The sequence below is a fragment of the Homo sapiens genome, chromosome 10 (genome assembly GCF_000001405.40).
Source record: "Homo sapiens chromosome 10, GRCh38.p14 Primary Assembly".
In the NCBI taxonomy this organism is placed as follows: Eukaryota; Metazoa; Chordata; class Mammalia; order Primates; family Hominidae; genus Homo; species Homo sapiens.
The window spans coordinates 45,941,897-45,957,533 of record NC_000010.11 but is presented as its reverse complement, the minus strand read 5'-3'; the positions used below and the strand labels follow the sequence as shown (position 1 = coordinate 45,957,533).

Sequence of the window (15,637 nt, the reverse complement as noted above, 5' to 3'; positions counted from 1 at the left end):
GGTCCCAAAAGGCAGGATATCTTGAAGTGGGGTTGCAGGATTCAGAGATTCTTTGATTTGCGATTGTTTAAGGAAGCAAGGCTTTGTCTAGAAACTTGGGATCAGTGGAAAGGAATGTTAAGGTTTGGCATGTGGGTGTCACTGTCTCCGGGCCCCTCAGGAAGAAATTTAGAATGAAGAACGTCAGTCAGAGTTCAGTCTTCAGTTCCCCCTTATGTGATGATGGTGGTTGGCACTTTCCATTTGGCGGGGGTCTGAGTTTCTGAAAAATAACTCAGGGACCTATGTCAAGATGTTATCTTTATTTTCTATAGGGAGCAACACATCTTGTGGCTCTGACTTCCATGAGTGGCTATTGGTTTAAGCTGTTATTACCTCCTTGCTTATCTGGTGGCTCATTTACTTCTCAAGGCTAGATAGGTGCCTGGAATTTCCCTTGAAGGTTTCAGATATGATGAGGTTTCTCTTCAAATAACCTGATCAGTCTTTTATTCTTTAATTCATAGTGCCCCCCTTCCTTTTTTCCTTTTTCTCCTTTCTTCCATTTTGCCTTTGTTAGATGCCCAGGCACGTCACAGTACCAAGCGTTATCAATACCAGCTCACATTCCTTTCCTTATTTGGAAAGAGAACTAACTTTCTAGCTTATTACAGACATGCCTTCCCCTTTCCTCTCCGCTTTCTTTCACATGCCCACCTTATCTAAAAGAATCAAATGTTTAGCTAACTGGAATTAGTTTAGATTGTACGACCCAACCCCAGCCAATGGGGAAAGGGTACAGGGGCAGGACTTGCGTCAGGAATAAAGGCTCTTGTGCCCCTTTGTTCAGGTGTGCTCTCATGGCGACTGGCCAAGGAGGCACTCCTCTGTGCAGAAGTAAAATTGCTTTGCTAAGAATCCTTTGTTCGAGTGTTCAATTTCCTTAGGATTTTGAGCGTTATTCCTAACAAAGGGATTCGAGATTTTCTTTTATTTCCTTGCTTGAGGGCCCTCCTGGCAGGCCCCTAAGAGGGCTCCCTGCTCTGTCTCAGCAGATGTTTTTATGAAGCTGCCTCTTTGACAGTCTTCTTTCCATAGTTCTTCCCTTTTTAAGGAATGTTGGTGAATAGAGTCAAACTCTGTAAAATATTTAAAGAAATTTATTCTGAACCAAATATGAGTGACCAATGGCCTGTGACACCGCCCCAGGAGATCTGAGTACATGTGCCCAAGGTGGTCAGGCTACAGGTTGGTTTTATATGTGTTAGAGAGGTATAAGACGTCAATCAATACATGTAAGATGCATATTGATTTGGTCCAGCAGGCAGGACAACTCGAAAGGGGCTTCCAGGTCATAGATTCTCTGCTTGGCAATTGGTTAAAAGGGTTATTATCTAAAGACCTGGAATCAATAGAAAGGAATGTCTGGGTTAAGAAGGGTTTCTAAAGACCAAGGTTTTATCATGCAGTTGATGCTTGTAGGTAACAGGCTTCAGAGCTCTTACCAGATGCTTCATTACTTCTCTCCTGGACTGGATCAGGGAAGACCTGGAAAGGGAAGGGGATTCTCTACAGCAGCAGTCCCCAACTTTTTGGCACCGGGGACCAGTTTTATGGAAGACCATTTTTCCATGGGTTGGGGGATGGTTTCAGAATGAAACTGTTCCACCTCAGATCATCAGGCATTTGTTAGATTCTCATAAGGAGTGTGCAACTTAGATCCCTCACATGCACAGTTCATAATAGGGTTCTTCGTCTTATGAGAATCTGATGTTGCCACTGACCTGACAGAAGGCAGAGCTCAGCCTTGCTCACCTCCTGCTATGCGGCCTGGTTCCTAACAGGCCATAGACCCCTAGTCCATGCCTGTCTGGATTCCGGGGGGTTGGGGACCCTTGCTCTACAGAATGTAGATTTTACCCACAAGAGACAGTTTAGCAGGGCCATTTCAAAATATTTCAAATAAATACATTTTGGGGTAAAATACTTCCGTTTCTTTCAGAGCTTGGTATCTGTCATGTTGGTATCTTAATTGCTATAAAGAGTCTGCCTTGTCAGTCTTAAAGTACCTGTTTTAATGTTAATGCTGGTCAGTCACATCTAAATTTCAAAGGGAGGAAGGTATAATGAAGCATGTCCAACCACCCGTTCCCATCATGGCCTGAACTAGTGTATGGGGTTTGCTTTAGAATGCCCTTGGCTGAGGGAGGGGCCCATTCAGTTGGTTGGGGGGCTTAGAATTTTATTTTTGTTTCACCCTTTTCCTTGTTAATTTTTTAGCCTTTAGAGTTAAGCTCAGTTGCCACTTCCTCAAGGAAGCCTTACCTAAGTTTACCAGATAAACTAAATCTGAGCTGGTCTCATAACACAGTGTTCCTCATATTCATAACATATTACAAGTGAAATTATATATTTATGTGATTATGCTCTGCGGTGAAGTACTCATACATACTACCACATGGATTAATCTTGAAAACATTATGCTAAGTGAAAAAGGCCAGACACAAAAGGCCACATATTATATGATTTCTTTTATATGAAATATCCAGAATAGGCATAATGTTAAACTTTAAACCATAATCTCTTTCTCTTACCAGTGGCAAATCTATATGGGTCTGCAGCAATGTTAATACTCCTCCTTAGAAGAAAGGATTTGATTGAGAGGCATAAGGCAGAATGAGAGACCAAGGCAAGTTTTAGAGCAGGAGTGAAAGTTCATTAAAAAGCTTTAGAGCAGGAATGAAAGGAAGTAAAGTACACTTGGAAGAGGGCCAAGCGGGCGACTTGAGAGATCAAGTACACAGTTTGACCTTTGACTTGAGGTTTTATATGTTGGCATGCTTCCAGGGGGTTGTGTCCCCTTCTCCCCTGATTCTTCCCTTGAGATGGGCTGTCTGCATGCGCGGTGTGATTACTGGAGTTGTACACATGCTTGCTTGAGGTATTCTTCCCTTACCAGTTGAGTGTTCTTATAAGGTCATATACCAGTTAAACTTTGCCATTTTGCTCCCTAGTACACATGCTGGAGCTGACTTGCCCAACTCCTAAGATCTTAACAGGAAGCTGCTGATCACCAATTTCAGATTTTTCTATCTATTGGGTGACTCCTTTCCCTGGCGCCGGCTGCTTCCAATTATTTTAGAGAGGCAGTTTCACAACTCCCTGTGCATCACTTGAGGGTTGTCTGACATTCCTGGTAGTGGTAGGGGCCCTGTCCTGCCCTGCTCATGTCTGACTGGCTACCTACTGTACCACTTCCTCAAACATTTACTTAATAGTTATTATAGTAGCATATGTGTGTATATATATATTTGCATGTATACACGTACACATGTACACATACCAGGTTCTATCTTACATATTCAGAATACAAAGTTAATATGGTTATTTTCAGGAAGTTTGGGATCTAGTGAGGGAGAGGAAGACAAGTGTGCTCTAGCATGATAATAATCTAACAAAACAAGATAAATAGCTGCCTACTTTGAAGTTTCTAAAGACTTCATAAAGATAATGAAAATCTGGCAGAGCTATGAAGGTGACAATAGAGATTTAACCAGATACAGTGGGGGAGGTGGCAATTGGTAGTAGTGGTATTAAAAAGAGAGGCCACAGTAGTATGTATACAGGCATATAAATATGAAAATGAATTTGCTATGTTTAAGGAATTTTAAGTGTTGTTTAAGACTTGTTTGGAATGAATGGTGTTCTGATAAGAAAGTATATGAAAATCAGGATGACATTTAGAATCAGAGTATAGGCGTTATAGCATTAGAAGCCTGGGAGTTCTTTAGAAAGGGTTTTATGGGGGCTAGATGTGTCTAGCAACAGCTGGAGTTAGGGAGAAGGATAGGAAACAGTAAAAGCTGAGGCAAGGAAGGATTCCTAGGGAATATGGAGCTAGAATATATACTATATCTGGTGACTTGGAACCTGGTTGAATGGAGGTGAGGAATGGGAAGAACTGAAGGGTTCTTTGGTGATTTCTTGCCTGGGAGCTGGTCTCTATTTTATAGCATTTGCTTTGGTTACTTAGGATTATTTTATAGAAGATACATTTTGTTTTTATGCACTGACAATTTTGTTTACCCTCAATTTCAGGTAGATCTTTTGCGAGCAGGAGAAGTTCCTAAACCTTTTCCAACACATTATAAAGATTTGTGGGATAACAAGCATGTTAAAATGCCTTGTTCAGAACAAAATTTGTACCCAGTGGAAGATGAGGGAAGAACAAAACCGAGATTCTTTTAGTCTCTGAAAAATGGTTTGGTACTTGCTTGTTTGACCTTTGATTCTGTGATGCAAAAGAACTTAGAATAGCTTCCTCATACGTTTTTCTTTTTTCCAAAAGAATGGTGAGCGAACTGCGGGGAGCCGGTGGGAGCTCATTCAGACTGCACTTCTCAACAAATTTACACGACCCCAAAACTTGAAGGTATGTTGTTTTTACCATGCTTGCCTCTTTATGGGCCCTGTGTCTCCTCTTTCGAAGACTTTTTGGTCTTAATAGACTCAGGTAGCAACATTCTTTAGATGCAGAGTGCTTGCTTCCTGGCACTAAGGAAGGCTCCTTAGAGACATTCTACTAGGAAATGAGAAGAACTGAGAGTTGCAAATGCCTTGCCAGGAGCCACACAGAATAATTTGGAGAACCAGGAATAATACCTCTGTTTCTTGATTCCCCATCCGATTTCCTTCAGTTCAAGCTTCTCTTTCTTTTTTTTGTTTTAAAATTATCATGTTTCTGAAATATCTTTAAAAGTAAATCAGGAAAGAATTATGACTTCAGCAATATTTGCCCAAAGGGAAGCTGAGTTTCCCAATTCTGCCCTTAATATAGCTCCTAGCAGTTTAATAATTTACTCATCTTATATTTTGGCAATAATTTATTTTTGATATATTTATATTTCATTTATGACTGCAAGGGTAACTAGTAGATTGTTTTTCTAATATCTAAAATATGAGTGAGTGTGTGTGTGTGTGTGTGTGTGTGTGTGTATATATATATATATATATATATATATATATATATATATATATATATATTTATATTTTGGGGACACTATAGCCATGAAAACTTTTCATGTTTTTATAAATATAAACAGTGACAGAATTTTTTGTACCTCTATGAAAATGAGTTTTATTTTCTTTCAGAGACTTAATTTGTTGTGTATAGTTTCTCAGCTTTCTTAATATTTTCTACTGATACTTGCAAGTTATTGTTAAACTTTCTATACCTTTCTGTAGCTCCTGTTTTTTTTCTTTACATGGAAAACATTGATATGTTATACCATAATGTATTTTGAAGGCTTTATTCCTTGGGGACAGTGTTTCTCAATCTTCTAATGGGCTCTTTTTTTAAAAAAAGAAAAAAAAAGCAGGCTGTTTATTTTTCTTTTTTACAGTACAAATTGATTTATTTAAAACAGTTAGAAAAAAACAAAACAAAATAGAGATTATCATTAGAATTATTAATGGTTTGTTAAAAATCAGGTAGGATTACGGGGTAAGAAATGGTATTAGGTGGGAGGAGCACCTGACTAGTTCTAAGGCTGTAGATACAATGCAGTTGATTACGTATTAATTCAGCCATTACATACTGGGGATAGTAGATGGGGGATCAGTGATTTATCTACAGGGAACTCCTACACAGATCCATGAAGACCTCCCCAGTGCCATCCTTTTCCACTCCTTAGACCCTAAAACCACCTGGGTGACAACATTTCCGTCCTTCTTTCTCCACCCCATTCCCTATCCATATATTCTTCCCACACCTAAGGTGCTGTGCAAGCTGAGAGCAGTCTGCTCTCTGCAGCTGGAACATATACTGTTTTGGCTACAGGGATCCTGTGTGACTAAGAAGGTTTTAGGGGCAGCCTTATTTTAATATATCAGGTTAGCCATGAGTACAGTCAGTCCCTTCCCTAACACAATTTAGATTATCTTGAACGCAAGTATCAGGTGAGGGATCAACCCTGCCTCCAGCAATACCAGCAATACGCTAACCACTCAGGCTCACAACTACAGAAAGCAAACTCTTTAAATGGAAACAATCTCAAGTTCTGCTAGAGTTTGCTTAGTTTTAGTATAATGTTAATTATGTGTATACAAACATAAAACTAAATATAAACTCCATATGTGTGTGTGTGTGTGTGTGTGTGTGTGTGTGTGTGTGTATATTTTTTTTTTTTTTTTTTTTAATTTGAAGCTGGGTCTTGCTCCATCACCTAGGGTGGAGTGCAGTGGGGTGATCACAGCTCACTGCAACCTCTGCTTCCCAGACTCAAGCAATCCTCATCTCAGCCTCCTGAGTAGCGGGGACTACAGGTGTATGCCACCATGCCCAGACTAATTTTGTTTATTTTAGTTTTTTGTAGAGACAGGGTTTCTCTGTGTTCCCTAGGCTGGTCTCCAACTCCTGGGCTCAAGTGATCCACCTGGCCTTGGCCTCCCAAGGTGCTGGCTGGGATTATAGGCATGAGTCACTGCTCCCAGCTAACTCCCTATACCTGTAGTGCTTATACAGCTATATCAGTTTGATTTTCTTTTTTAATTTCAGGTATAATGAACCATCATTTGATTTGTATTTATTATCACAGTGAAAACAATTTGTAGTCATTATTCCTTTTTTTGCACAGAAATTTTCAAACCGCTGATCCAAACCCCAAAATAGTATGCTGAGAAATTCTTTAAAATACTACATAAAGAAGAAATTATTTTGCAATTATTACTTTTCCTACTAATCATGAACAGTTGAGGGGTGTTGGTGGATACAAAGATGGGATCCTTAAATAGAACATCAGATCGCAGTGGCACGATCTCAGCTCACTGCAACCTACACCTCCCTGGCTCAAGCGATTCTCGTGCCTCAGCCTCCTGAGTAGCTGGAAAAAAATCTCAAGTTCTGCTAGAGTTTACTTGATTTTAGTATAATGTTACAGGCATGTGCCACAGGTGCATGCCACCACACTGGGCTAATTTTTTATATTTTTTGGCTGAGACACTGGGTCTTGCCATGTTACCCATGCTGGTCTCAAACTCCTGAGCTCAAGTGATCCACCTGCCTTGGCCTCCCAAAGTACTGGGATTACAGGCATGTAATTACCACATCTGGATGAAGGTTCGTTAGAATTTAACATACCTGTACTGTGGTGTATAGTAGGACAGCTCAATCTTTTCACTGTTTTTGTCTATTAATAGTACCAGCCTTCATTCGTACAGCGTGTTGTTATTTGGCTGTTGTTTTCTAAAAACAAAATTATAAACTCACATAGAAACAGGCTGCCCAGGAATACTACCCGGAGTCCATTTGATGAACACTATCTTAGGTTCTTTATTTTTATTCTTCTAAACAGAGGCTGTTTTTAAGAATTTTTATATTTCTTCAACTGCAAATAGAATAATTATAGTGAGGCCAGGTGCGGTGGCTCAAGCCTGTAACCCCAGCACTTTGGGAGGCCGAGGCAGGCAGGTCGCCAGAGGTCAGGAGTTTGAGACCATCCTGGCCAACATGGTGAAACCTCATCTCTACTAAAAATATAAAAATTAGCCGGGCATGGTGGCGGGTGCCTGTAATCCCCGCTACTCAGGAGGCTGAGACAGGAGAATCGCTTGAACCCAGGAGGCAGAGGTTGCAGTGAGCCGAGATCATGCCACTGCACTCTAGCCTGGGCAACAAAGAGCGAAACTCCATATTTGAAAAAAAGGAAAAGAATAACTATAGTGTTTTAACTTACACAGTCTGCTTACCTCTCTAGCAATTCCTTAGTGCACCATGATTATTTCAGGAAGGGGTAATTGCTTTAATCTGAATTTCCTTTTTGTGTTTCTCTTATGGTAGATTCAATAGAACAGAGTAATCCATCGAGATATTTTTCTGTCTGCTTATGGTAATTGTTTCCTTTGCTGAAAGAATGCTTTGAGAGAGGAAGAGGGAAACATTAAACCCCTCTAATTGAATATAATGATTTTTTTGCTGTTCATATACCATTTAATGTTGGATTTAGAGGGATTAGAGACATTCAGAATTTTAAAAAGTAATAGTGTCCTCAAAAGTTGATTTACACAGTAGTACTTATATAAATAATGTGTGTGATAATTTGCACAGAAAGAATTTTTTGTGCTTATTGTGAATTATGAACTATAAAGAACTTACTCAGTAGTTGATAACTCAAGAGTACAGAGTAGTATCCAGTTTTTCTAATGACAGGCAACCTCATGGTGGACTACTTTTGAGACTTGAAGACTGAAGTAAAAATAAATACGAGCTAAAGCTTAATGCTAATTATAAAACACTAAAATAATTAGAGAATTACAGTGAAGAATTAGAATGCAATTGCTACTTAAAATTTTTTTCCTTACCAACTTTGAGGAATAATAACATATGGATAAGAAAGTTTATCCTTTTAAAGTGTGTCATTTGATGAGTTTTGACATTTACACATACCATGAAGCTCCCATTATAATCAAGATACAGAATGTTTGTATCATCCCCAAAGATTCCTCTCCCCACTTTGCAGTCCATTCCACTTTCTGCTCTGGCCCCAGACAACTACTAATCTGTTCTTTTTCACTATAGTTTACATTCTGCATGAATTGAATCATAGTGGGTGTGTCTGGCTTCATTCACTCAAAATGAAGATAATTTTGAGATTCATCCATGTTGTTCAATGTATTGATAGTTTGCTCCAGTATATGCATTGTTTATTCCTTCACCTATTGATACACATTTCTGTTTAATACTTTATGAAGTTTTGAAATTAGATACCAGTGATTGGAAAAAAAATCCTTAAAATCTTTTAATTTTTTTTTTCTTTCTTTTTTTTTTTCTGAGACAGGATCTTGCTCTGTCACCCAGGCTGGAGTGCAGTGGTCCAATCTCGGCTCACTGCAACCTCAACCTCCTTTGCTCAAGCGATCCTCCCATCTCAGCACCCTCATGTAGCTGAGACTACAGGCATGCACCAACCATGCCTGGTTAATTTTTGTATTTTTTTCTAGGGATCTTGTCATGTTGCCCAGGCTAGTCTCGAACTCCTGGACTCAAGCGATTCACCTGCCTCGGCCTCCCAGAGTGTGCTATGATTACAGGCGCGAGCCACCATGCAGGCCAAAATCTCTTAATTCTTTTTTTTTTTTTTTTTTTTTTTGAGACGGAGTCTCGCTCTGTCACCCAGGCTGGAGTGCAGTGGCACGACCTCGGCTCACTGCAACATCTGACTCCCTGGTTCAAGTGAGTCTCCTGCCTCAGCCTCCCAAGTAGCTGGGATTACAAGCATATGCCACCACACCCAGCTAATTTTTGTATTTTTATTAGAGACATGGTTTCACCATGTTGGCCAGAATGCTCTCGATCTCCTGACATTGTGATCCGCCCGCCTCAGCCTCCCAAAGTGCTGGGATTACAGGCGCGAGCCACTGCGTCAGCCTAAAATCTCTTAATTCTTAATGGAAAATGTTATGTATGACTTGTGAGTGAAAAATAAAGACTCTTTCACTCTTTCTTGCTATCTTATTTTACGGAAGATTTTTCTTTTCTTTTATCTTCTCTTCTCTTCTCTTTTCTTTTCTTAAGGAACTTGGATGTCCCCTGATTCCAAGTGAATAAGACACATTTTGTTGGCTCATCTTTTAACCTAGATACTTAGTATGGCATGAAGTACTATTCAGGAAGCTTTGACAGAGTATTAATTTTTTAAAAACTTATTCAATGATAACGAAATTTGGAAGATTTATAGTAATAATCTAACAGTGGTTTTCAGACCTGTGTGCCTCAGTAAAAAAATTTTGAGTGTGTATTACCAATATAAATAGTCATTTATAAATTCTACATATCTATTACTTTATTAATGTAATATGTACAGTATAAAATAAAACCAAAGTAGATATTTAAAAGGATGAGATAAAAGATAATTATAAATAAATAGTTGTTTCTGCACATCTAGTGGATTGTCTTATGCATACCTGACTCTGGAAACCAGATGTATAGTATTGCCTATTCAAACAGTTAAAAGCTACACCAGTAGATGGCATAATATTTTGACTTTTCATTCTACATAAATGTGTAATTTATGTGAACTGCTGGAGGAAGATAATAATTTATATATAGTATAAAAATACTTTATAGTAAAGGAAAAAAGACAGTTTTTAAATACTTTTTTCCTAATCTCCTCGTCCCCATGAAATTTTTATTTTTTATTTTTTACAAAAAAATTTATGCCTCAACCCTATTAACTGACCCATGAAATTTTCATACTACAAATCTGCTGTGTATGTCTGTGTATATATAATCTGATGCTTTCAAGGACCACCAACAATTGTGATAACTAAGTTTATTTTTTACCCCTCAAGATACAGTTTTTGTCTATTTGGAGTATATCACCTTATTTAGAATGCATGCTTTAGGGTGTAATTGTGTTTTTTCACCTATTACTTGACCGTTCTAATCTCATTTTTTAAAGTGAGTAATAAATTAGTAATCATTCTGTTTGTCTGTAGCTACTGATGTCCATATCAGTAGCAGGGGGAGGTAGTCGGAAGCTTGTCTAACATTATGAAATATACTGGAGGTAATTCATAAGAGACAGGCTCTTCATAGGTCATTCACTTGGCCATACCATGACGTTTTGTTTCTGCATTTTCCACAGGATGCTATTCTGAAATACACTGTGGCATATTCTAAGAAATGGGACTTTACAGCTTTGATCGATTTCTGGGATAAGGTAAAAGTATCCCTATTTCTTTATGAAAATATTATTGACAACTCAATAAGAAGGTTTGAGAAGAATACCCATAATTCTGCCACGCTAAGATAATTATCTTTTAGTTTTATAAATTTGCTGTTATTTTATATGTATGTTTTAGGTAAATACAATTAGGAGTTAATATTGAATTTTGTTTTCATCTCTTAGAACACACATTTTCTGTTATATTTTCATACCATTATCAGCATTATCAAGGAATGTATAATAGTCCATGACTAGATTTTGAGAATATAATGGTTCTTATATTCTCAAACATACAGGTTGCATCCAGTTTTACCTTCAGTTACATAGTGGCAACATCATTATATATGTATATATATTTTCCCATATTTGATATTGTTTCTTTAGGTGATTTCCAGAAATTAGATGACTAAGTCAAAGGGCACAAAACATTTGTTTAAAAATCTTTTAAAAACTTTTGCCATAAAATCATTTTTCCACAGATTAATTGTAGCAATTTACTATGCTGCCAGTAGTGGATAAGAATATCACTTTCATAGTACCATCAGCAGAGAGAGTCTTTTCATTTGTCTATTGGCCATTTCTATATCTTCTTTGGAAAAATACCTATTCAAATTTTTTGTCTTTATTATTGAATTTTAGGCATTCTTTGTATATTTTAGATGCAGGTTCCTTACCAGATATATGATTTGCAAATATTTTCTCCCATTTTGTGTTTTTTTTTTTTCTTTTTCTTGATGTTACACTTTGAAGCTCAAAAATTTTTAATTTTGACAAAGTCAGTTTATTATTTTTTTTCTTTTCTTCTGTTTTCGGGATCATATTTAAGAAGCTAATCTAAGTTCATGAAGATTTATGTTTCTTCTAAGAATTTTATAGCTTTAGCTCTTACACTATGACCATTACCCATTTTGTGTTAATTTTTGTATATGATGTAAATTAGAAGTCCAATTTTATTATTTTCCATGTGAATATCCATTTCGAGTTAATTTTCATATGTGGTATAAGGTAGGAGTTCAACTTCATTATTTTGCATGTGGATAACAAGTTGTCCCAGCACCATTTGTTGAAAAGACTCTTCTATCCCGTGTTGAATTGTCTTGGCACCTTTTCAAAACCAGTTGACGTAAGGATTGTTTCTGGCCTCTCAGTTCTACGACACTGATCTGTATGTCTGTCCTTGTGCCAGTACCACACAGTCTTGGTTCCATAGCTTTGTGGTAAGTTTTAAAATCAGGAAGTGTGTGTCCTGTAACTTTGGTCTTTTTCAAATTTGTTTTGGCTGTTTTTGGATTCTTTGCATTTCACTCTGAATTTTAGGATTAATTTGTTAATTTCTGCAAAAAACCTAGGTGCTAAGGGCAATTCTTACATCACGTTAATAGAATCCAAACTAATTCTGCATTTCGAGGTAGTGCCAGTAATTTCAGAATTATCTTATTGAGCTTTTGACCCATATGGCTTTTACAAGGCAGGCATAAATAATGGAAGACTTATCCTTGTGTCTGGAAATTGGATATCTCAGATATCCTTGAATCTAAATGTCTTTCACTGTAACAGCAATGTAATATCTGATATGATGAAAAGTAGATCAAACCGATATAATCATTATCCTTGTCACTTAAGTTATCAGGACATAACATTTGTATTGTAAGTTTCTGGGCTTAAATTGGATATGATGGTTAATTGGGGTAAGAAGTAATGTATAATTTAATACCTTGAGATGGCAGTAAAACATGCCGTTGGTTACAATACCTCTGTCACCTTGCTATGAAGTAGTCATTTTTTTCTCTCTTCTTAATCAGAATACTCAGACAGGACCTTGTTTCCCCTTTATCTGGTGACCTTGCCCAGAAGCATGCCTGAAACGGGTAACATATAGCAAGTTTTGGTGTGTTTAGTGTAGATCATAAATATGAGATGATTACTCAGGTGCTGATGATGGTTTTACAGTTCTTTAGGGAGAAGAGTCCTTGCGTTTTCGACCTTCTAATATTTATTTATTTATTTATTTATGAAATGGAGTCTCACTCTGTCACCCAGGCTGGAGTGCAGCGGCACAATCTCAGCTCACTGCAATTTCTGCCTCGCGGGTTCAAGCGATTCTCTTGCCTCAGCCTTCCAAGTAGCTGGGATTACAGGTGCCCGCCACGTTGCCCGGCTAATTTTTGTATTTTTAGTAGAGATGGGGTTTTGCCATGTTGGCCAGGCTGGTCCCAAATTCCTGACCTTAAGTGATCCACCCAACTCGGCCTCCCAAAGTGCTGGGATTACAGGTGTGAGCCACCGCCCCCAACCAGACCTTCTGATTTGTATTTACTTTGTAAACATATGGAGGGTTGGAGAAGTCCCCACAACTACACTAAGTATTTATTTCTTGTTGTATTCTTTTTAAGTCTTTGCCCATATATATGATGTCTTATAGCTAGATATAAATGTATGTTTAAAATTTATGCTGTATTATAAAATCTTCTGTGTTATATAACTTTATAATGTTTAGCCTTAATGGTTGCAATAATATTCCATCAAATTGATAAATTGTCTGTTCATCCATTCCTGTGTTTGTTGGAGATTTGAGGAAATTTGTGTAAAGCTTATCTAGAGATTTGAAGGTGGTTCTCCCTGTGATTGTTTGCTATTCTGTCATTATGAGTGTACTTAACAAAATACCTTGGATGTTTAATACACTTGTTTATTTTTCTATCCATCAAATCTCCAGATATTATTCTAGAACTTTAGCAAGTCATGACCCACAGGGACAACATTGCCCACACTTGCAGTGGTTAGTGAGAATTAAGTGTCAGACATACCTATATAGGTGGGATTGGTGGAAGAAAAGATTTTTAGCGCAAGGGAAACAATTGTTTGGTTTGGTTTTAAGTTGAAAATAAATTATATTTGGTTTGCATTTTCAGTGTCTTATGTTCTGTACTAGGAATGCTTGTTTATAAAGGGTTCTTTTATTTTTTTATTTAAAGCCAGGCTATAGTGCAGTGGTGCTGTCACAGCTCACTGCAGCCTCAACCTCCGGGGCTGTATACATTCTCCCACTTTAGCCTCCCGTTTAGCTGGGACTACAGGCATGTGCTACCACACCTGGCTAGTTTTTTGTATTTTTTTGTAGAGACAGGGTTTCACCATTGTTACCCAGGCTGGTCTTGAACTCTTGGGCTCAAGCAATCTTCACTCCTCAGCCTCCCAAAGTTCTGGGATTATAGGCATGAGCCACTGTGCCTGGCCTATAAAGCGTTCTTTATTTTCGAGATGGATTCTAGCTCTGTCACCAGACTGGAATGCAGTGGTGTAATCTCGGCTCACTGCAACTTCCACCTCCTGGGTTCAAGCCATTCGCCTGCCTCAGCTTCCCGAGTAGCTGGGACTACAGACGTGCGCCACCACACCCAGCTAATTTTTGTATTTTTATTAGAGACGGGGTTTCACCATGTTGGCCATGTTGGTCTCGATCTCTTGACCTCGTGATCCGCCCGCCTCGGCCTCCCAAAGTGCTGGGATTACAGGCATGAGCCACCGCGCTCGACCTTAAACTAACGGTTCTTAAACATTGTTTATTAGCAGGGTTTGGCAATATTTTCAATTTTTATTTTCTAATTTTTTGTTGTTTTGAGACAGTATCTCACTCTATTGGCCAGGCTGGAGTGCAGTGGAATGATCTCGGCTCATTGTAACCTCCACCTCCCAGGTTCAAGCAATTCTTGTGCCTCAGCCTCCTGAGTAGCTGGGACTACAGGCATGCACCACCACACCTGGCTAATTTTTGGATTTTTGATAGAGACAGGGTTTCACTATATTGGCCAGGCTGGTCTCGAACTCCTGACCTCAAGTGATCTGCACACCTCGGCCTCCAAAAGTGTTGGGATTACAGGTGTGAGCGGCTGCTCCCAGCCAGAATTTGGAAATTCTTTACTTAAATGTCACATTGAACTCTGAGTGGCTTGTTTTATTAAGGAAAAGAATTAAATTTGACATCGTATTAAGATTAATATTTTGCAGTTACGTTTATTTTGAAGCTGTTGATATTTATCTCCTTAAAACCTTTCTTTGATTAATTCTGTAAGTAAAGGATTTTGTAACCCAAACTACCTTACAACAAGAGGAGTTCATGTCAACAGTCATTGTGAATCCATGGTACCATAATTATGTACATTCTGGTCTCTAGCACAGGAGGTAAGGTGCCCAGAAGCCCACCCTGGTGTGTGAGCACCTCTACTGGAATGGAAGTAAGGAGTATTACCTAAGCTTTTATTAGTTTTTCAGAAACCAGCAAAGATCACAGAGACCAATCTGTTAATTTGTTATTTATAATTATATATTTAGATGCTACTGAGTCGAAATGGCTGTTATTTAGTGTTTTCTGCAACTTCAGGGCTAATATTGGTCTTCCTCACTGCCAGCTGCTGGAAGTGCTACAAACACACAATCTGTGTTTTATGGCCCTCCTGTGTGGTGTTTCACAAAATTAAATTCAAACACTTCTGTAATTTATATTCTAAATGAATCAATGTACTTACTCCTGGCATTTTTCACTGGAAAGTTGAACAAAATGTTCTATATGTTATAAAAGTCCTCTATCAATGCATCTTGGAGGAATTTTTAAATACTTCTCTTTTTTTTTTTTTTTTTTTTGAGACAGAGTCTTTCTCTGTCACTCAGGCTGGAGTGGAGTGGCACGATCTCGGCCCACTGCAACCTCTGCCTCCCAGGTTCAAGTGATTCTCCCGCCTCAGCCTCCTGAGTAGCTGGAATTATAGGCACCCACCACCACGCCAGGCTAATTTTTGTATTTTTAGTAGAGACAGGGTTTCACCATCTTGGTCAGGCTAGTCTCGAACTCCTGACCTCAGGTGATCCACCCACCTTGGCCTCCCAAAGTGCTGGGATTACAGGTATGAGCCACCGTGCCCAGCCAAATACTCCTC

At 38.5% G+C, this 15,637-nt stretch overlaps 2 pseudogenes across 3 annotated transcripts in view; both read left to right on the top strand.

The window, feature by feature from the left end:
- PARGP1-AGAP4 (PARGP1-AGAP4 readthrough) overlaps nucleotides 1–15,637 on the top strand; it is a 146,781-nt pseudogene that overhangs the window by 14,841 nt on the left and 116,303 nt on the right. The window lies entirely within an intron of this gene.
- Nucleotides 1–15,637, top strand: part of PARGP1 (PARG pseudogene 1) — a 117,594-nt pseudogene that overhangs the window by 14,895 nt on the left and 87,062 nt on the right. The window contains exons 3-4 of the transcript NR_029388.2: nucleotides 4,328–4,411; nucleotides 10,623–10,697. The product of NR_029388.2 is annotated as a PARG pseudogene 1 (transcript). The remainder of the gene's footprint in view (nucleotides 1–4,327; nucleotides 4,412–10,622; nucleotides 10,698–15,637) is intronic.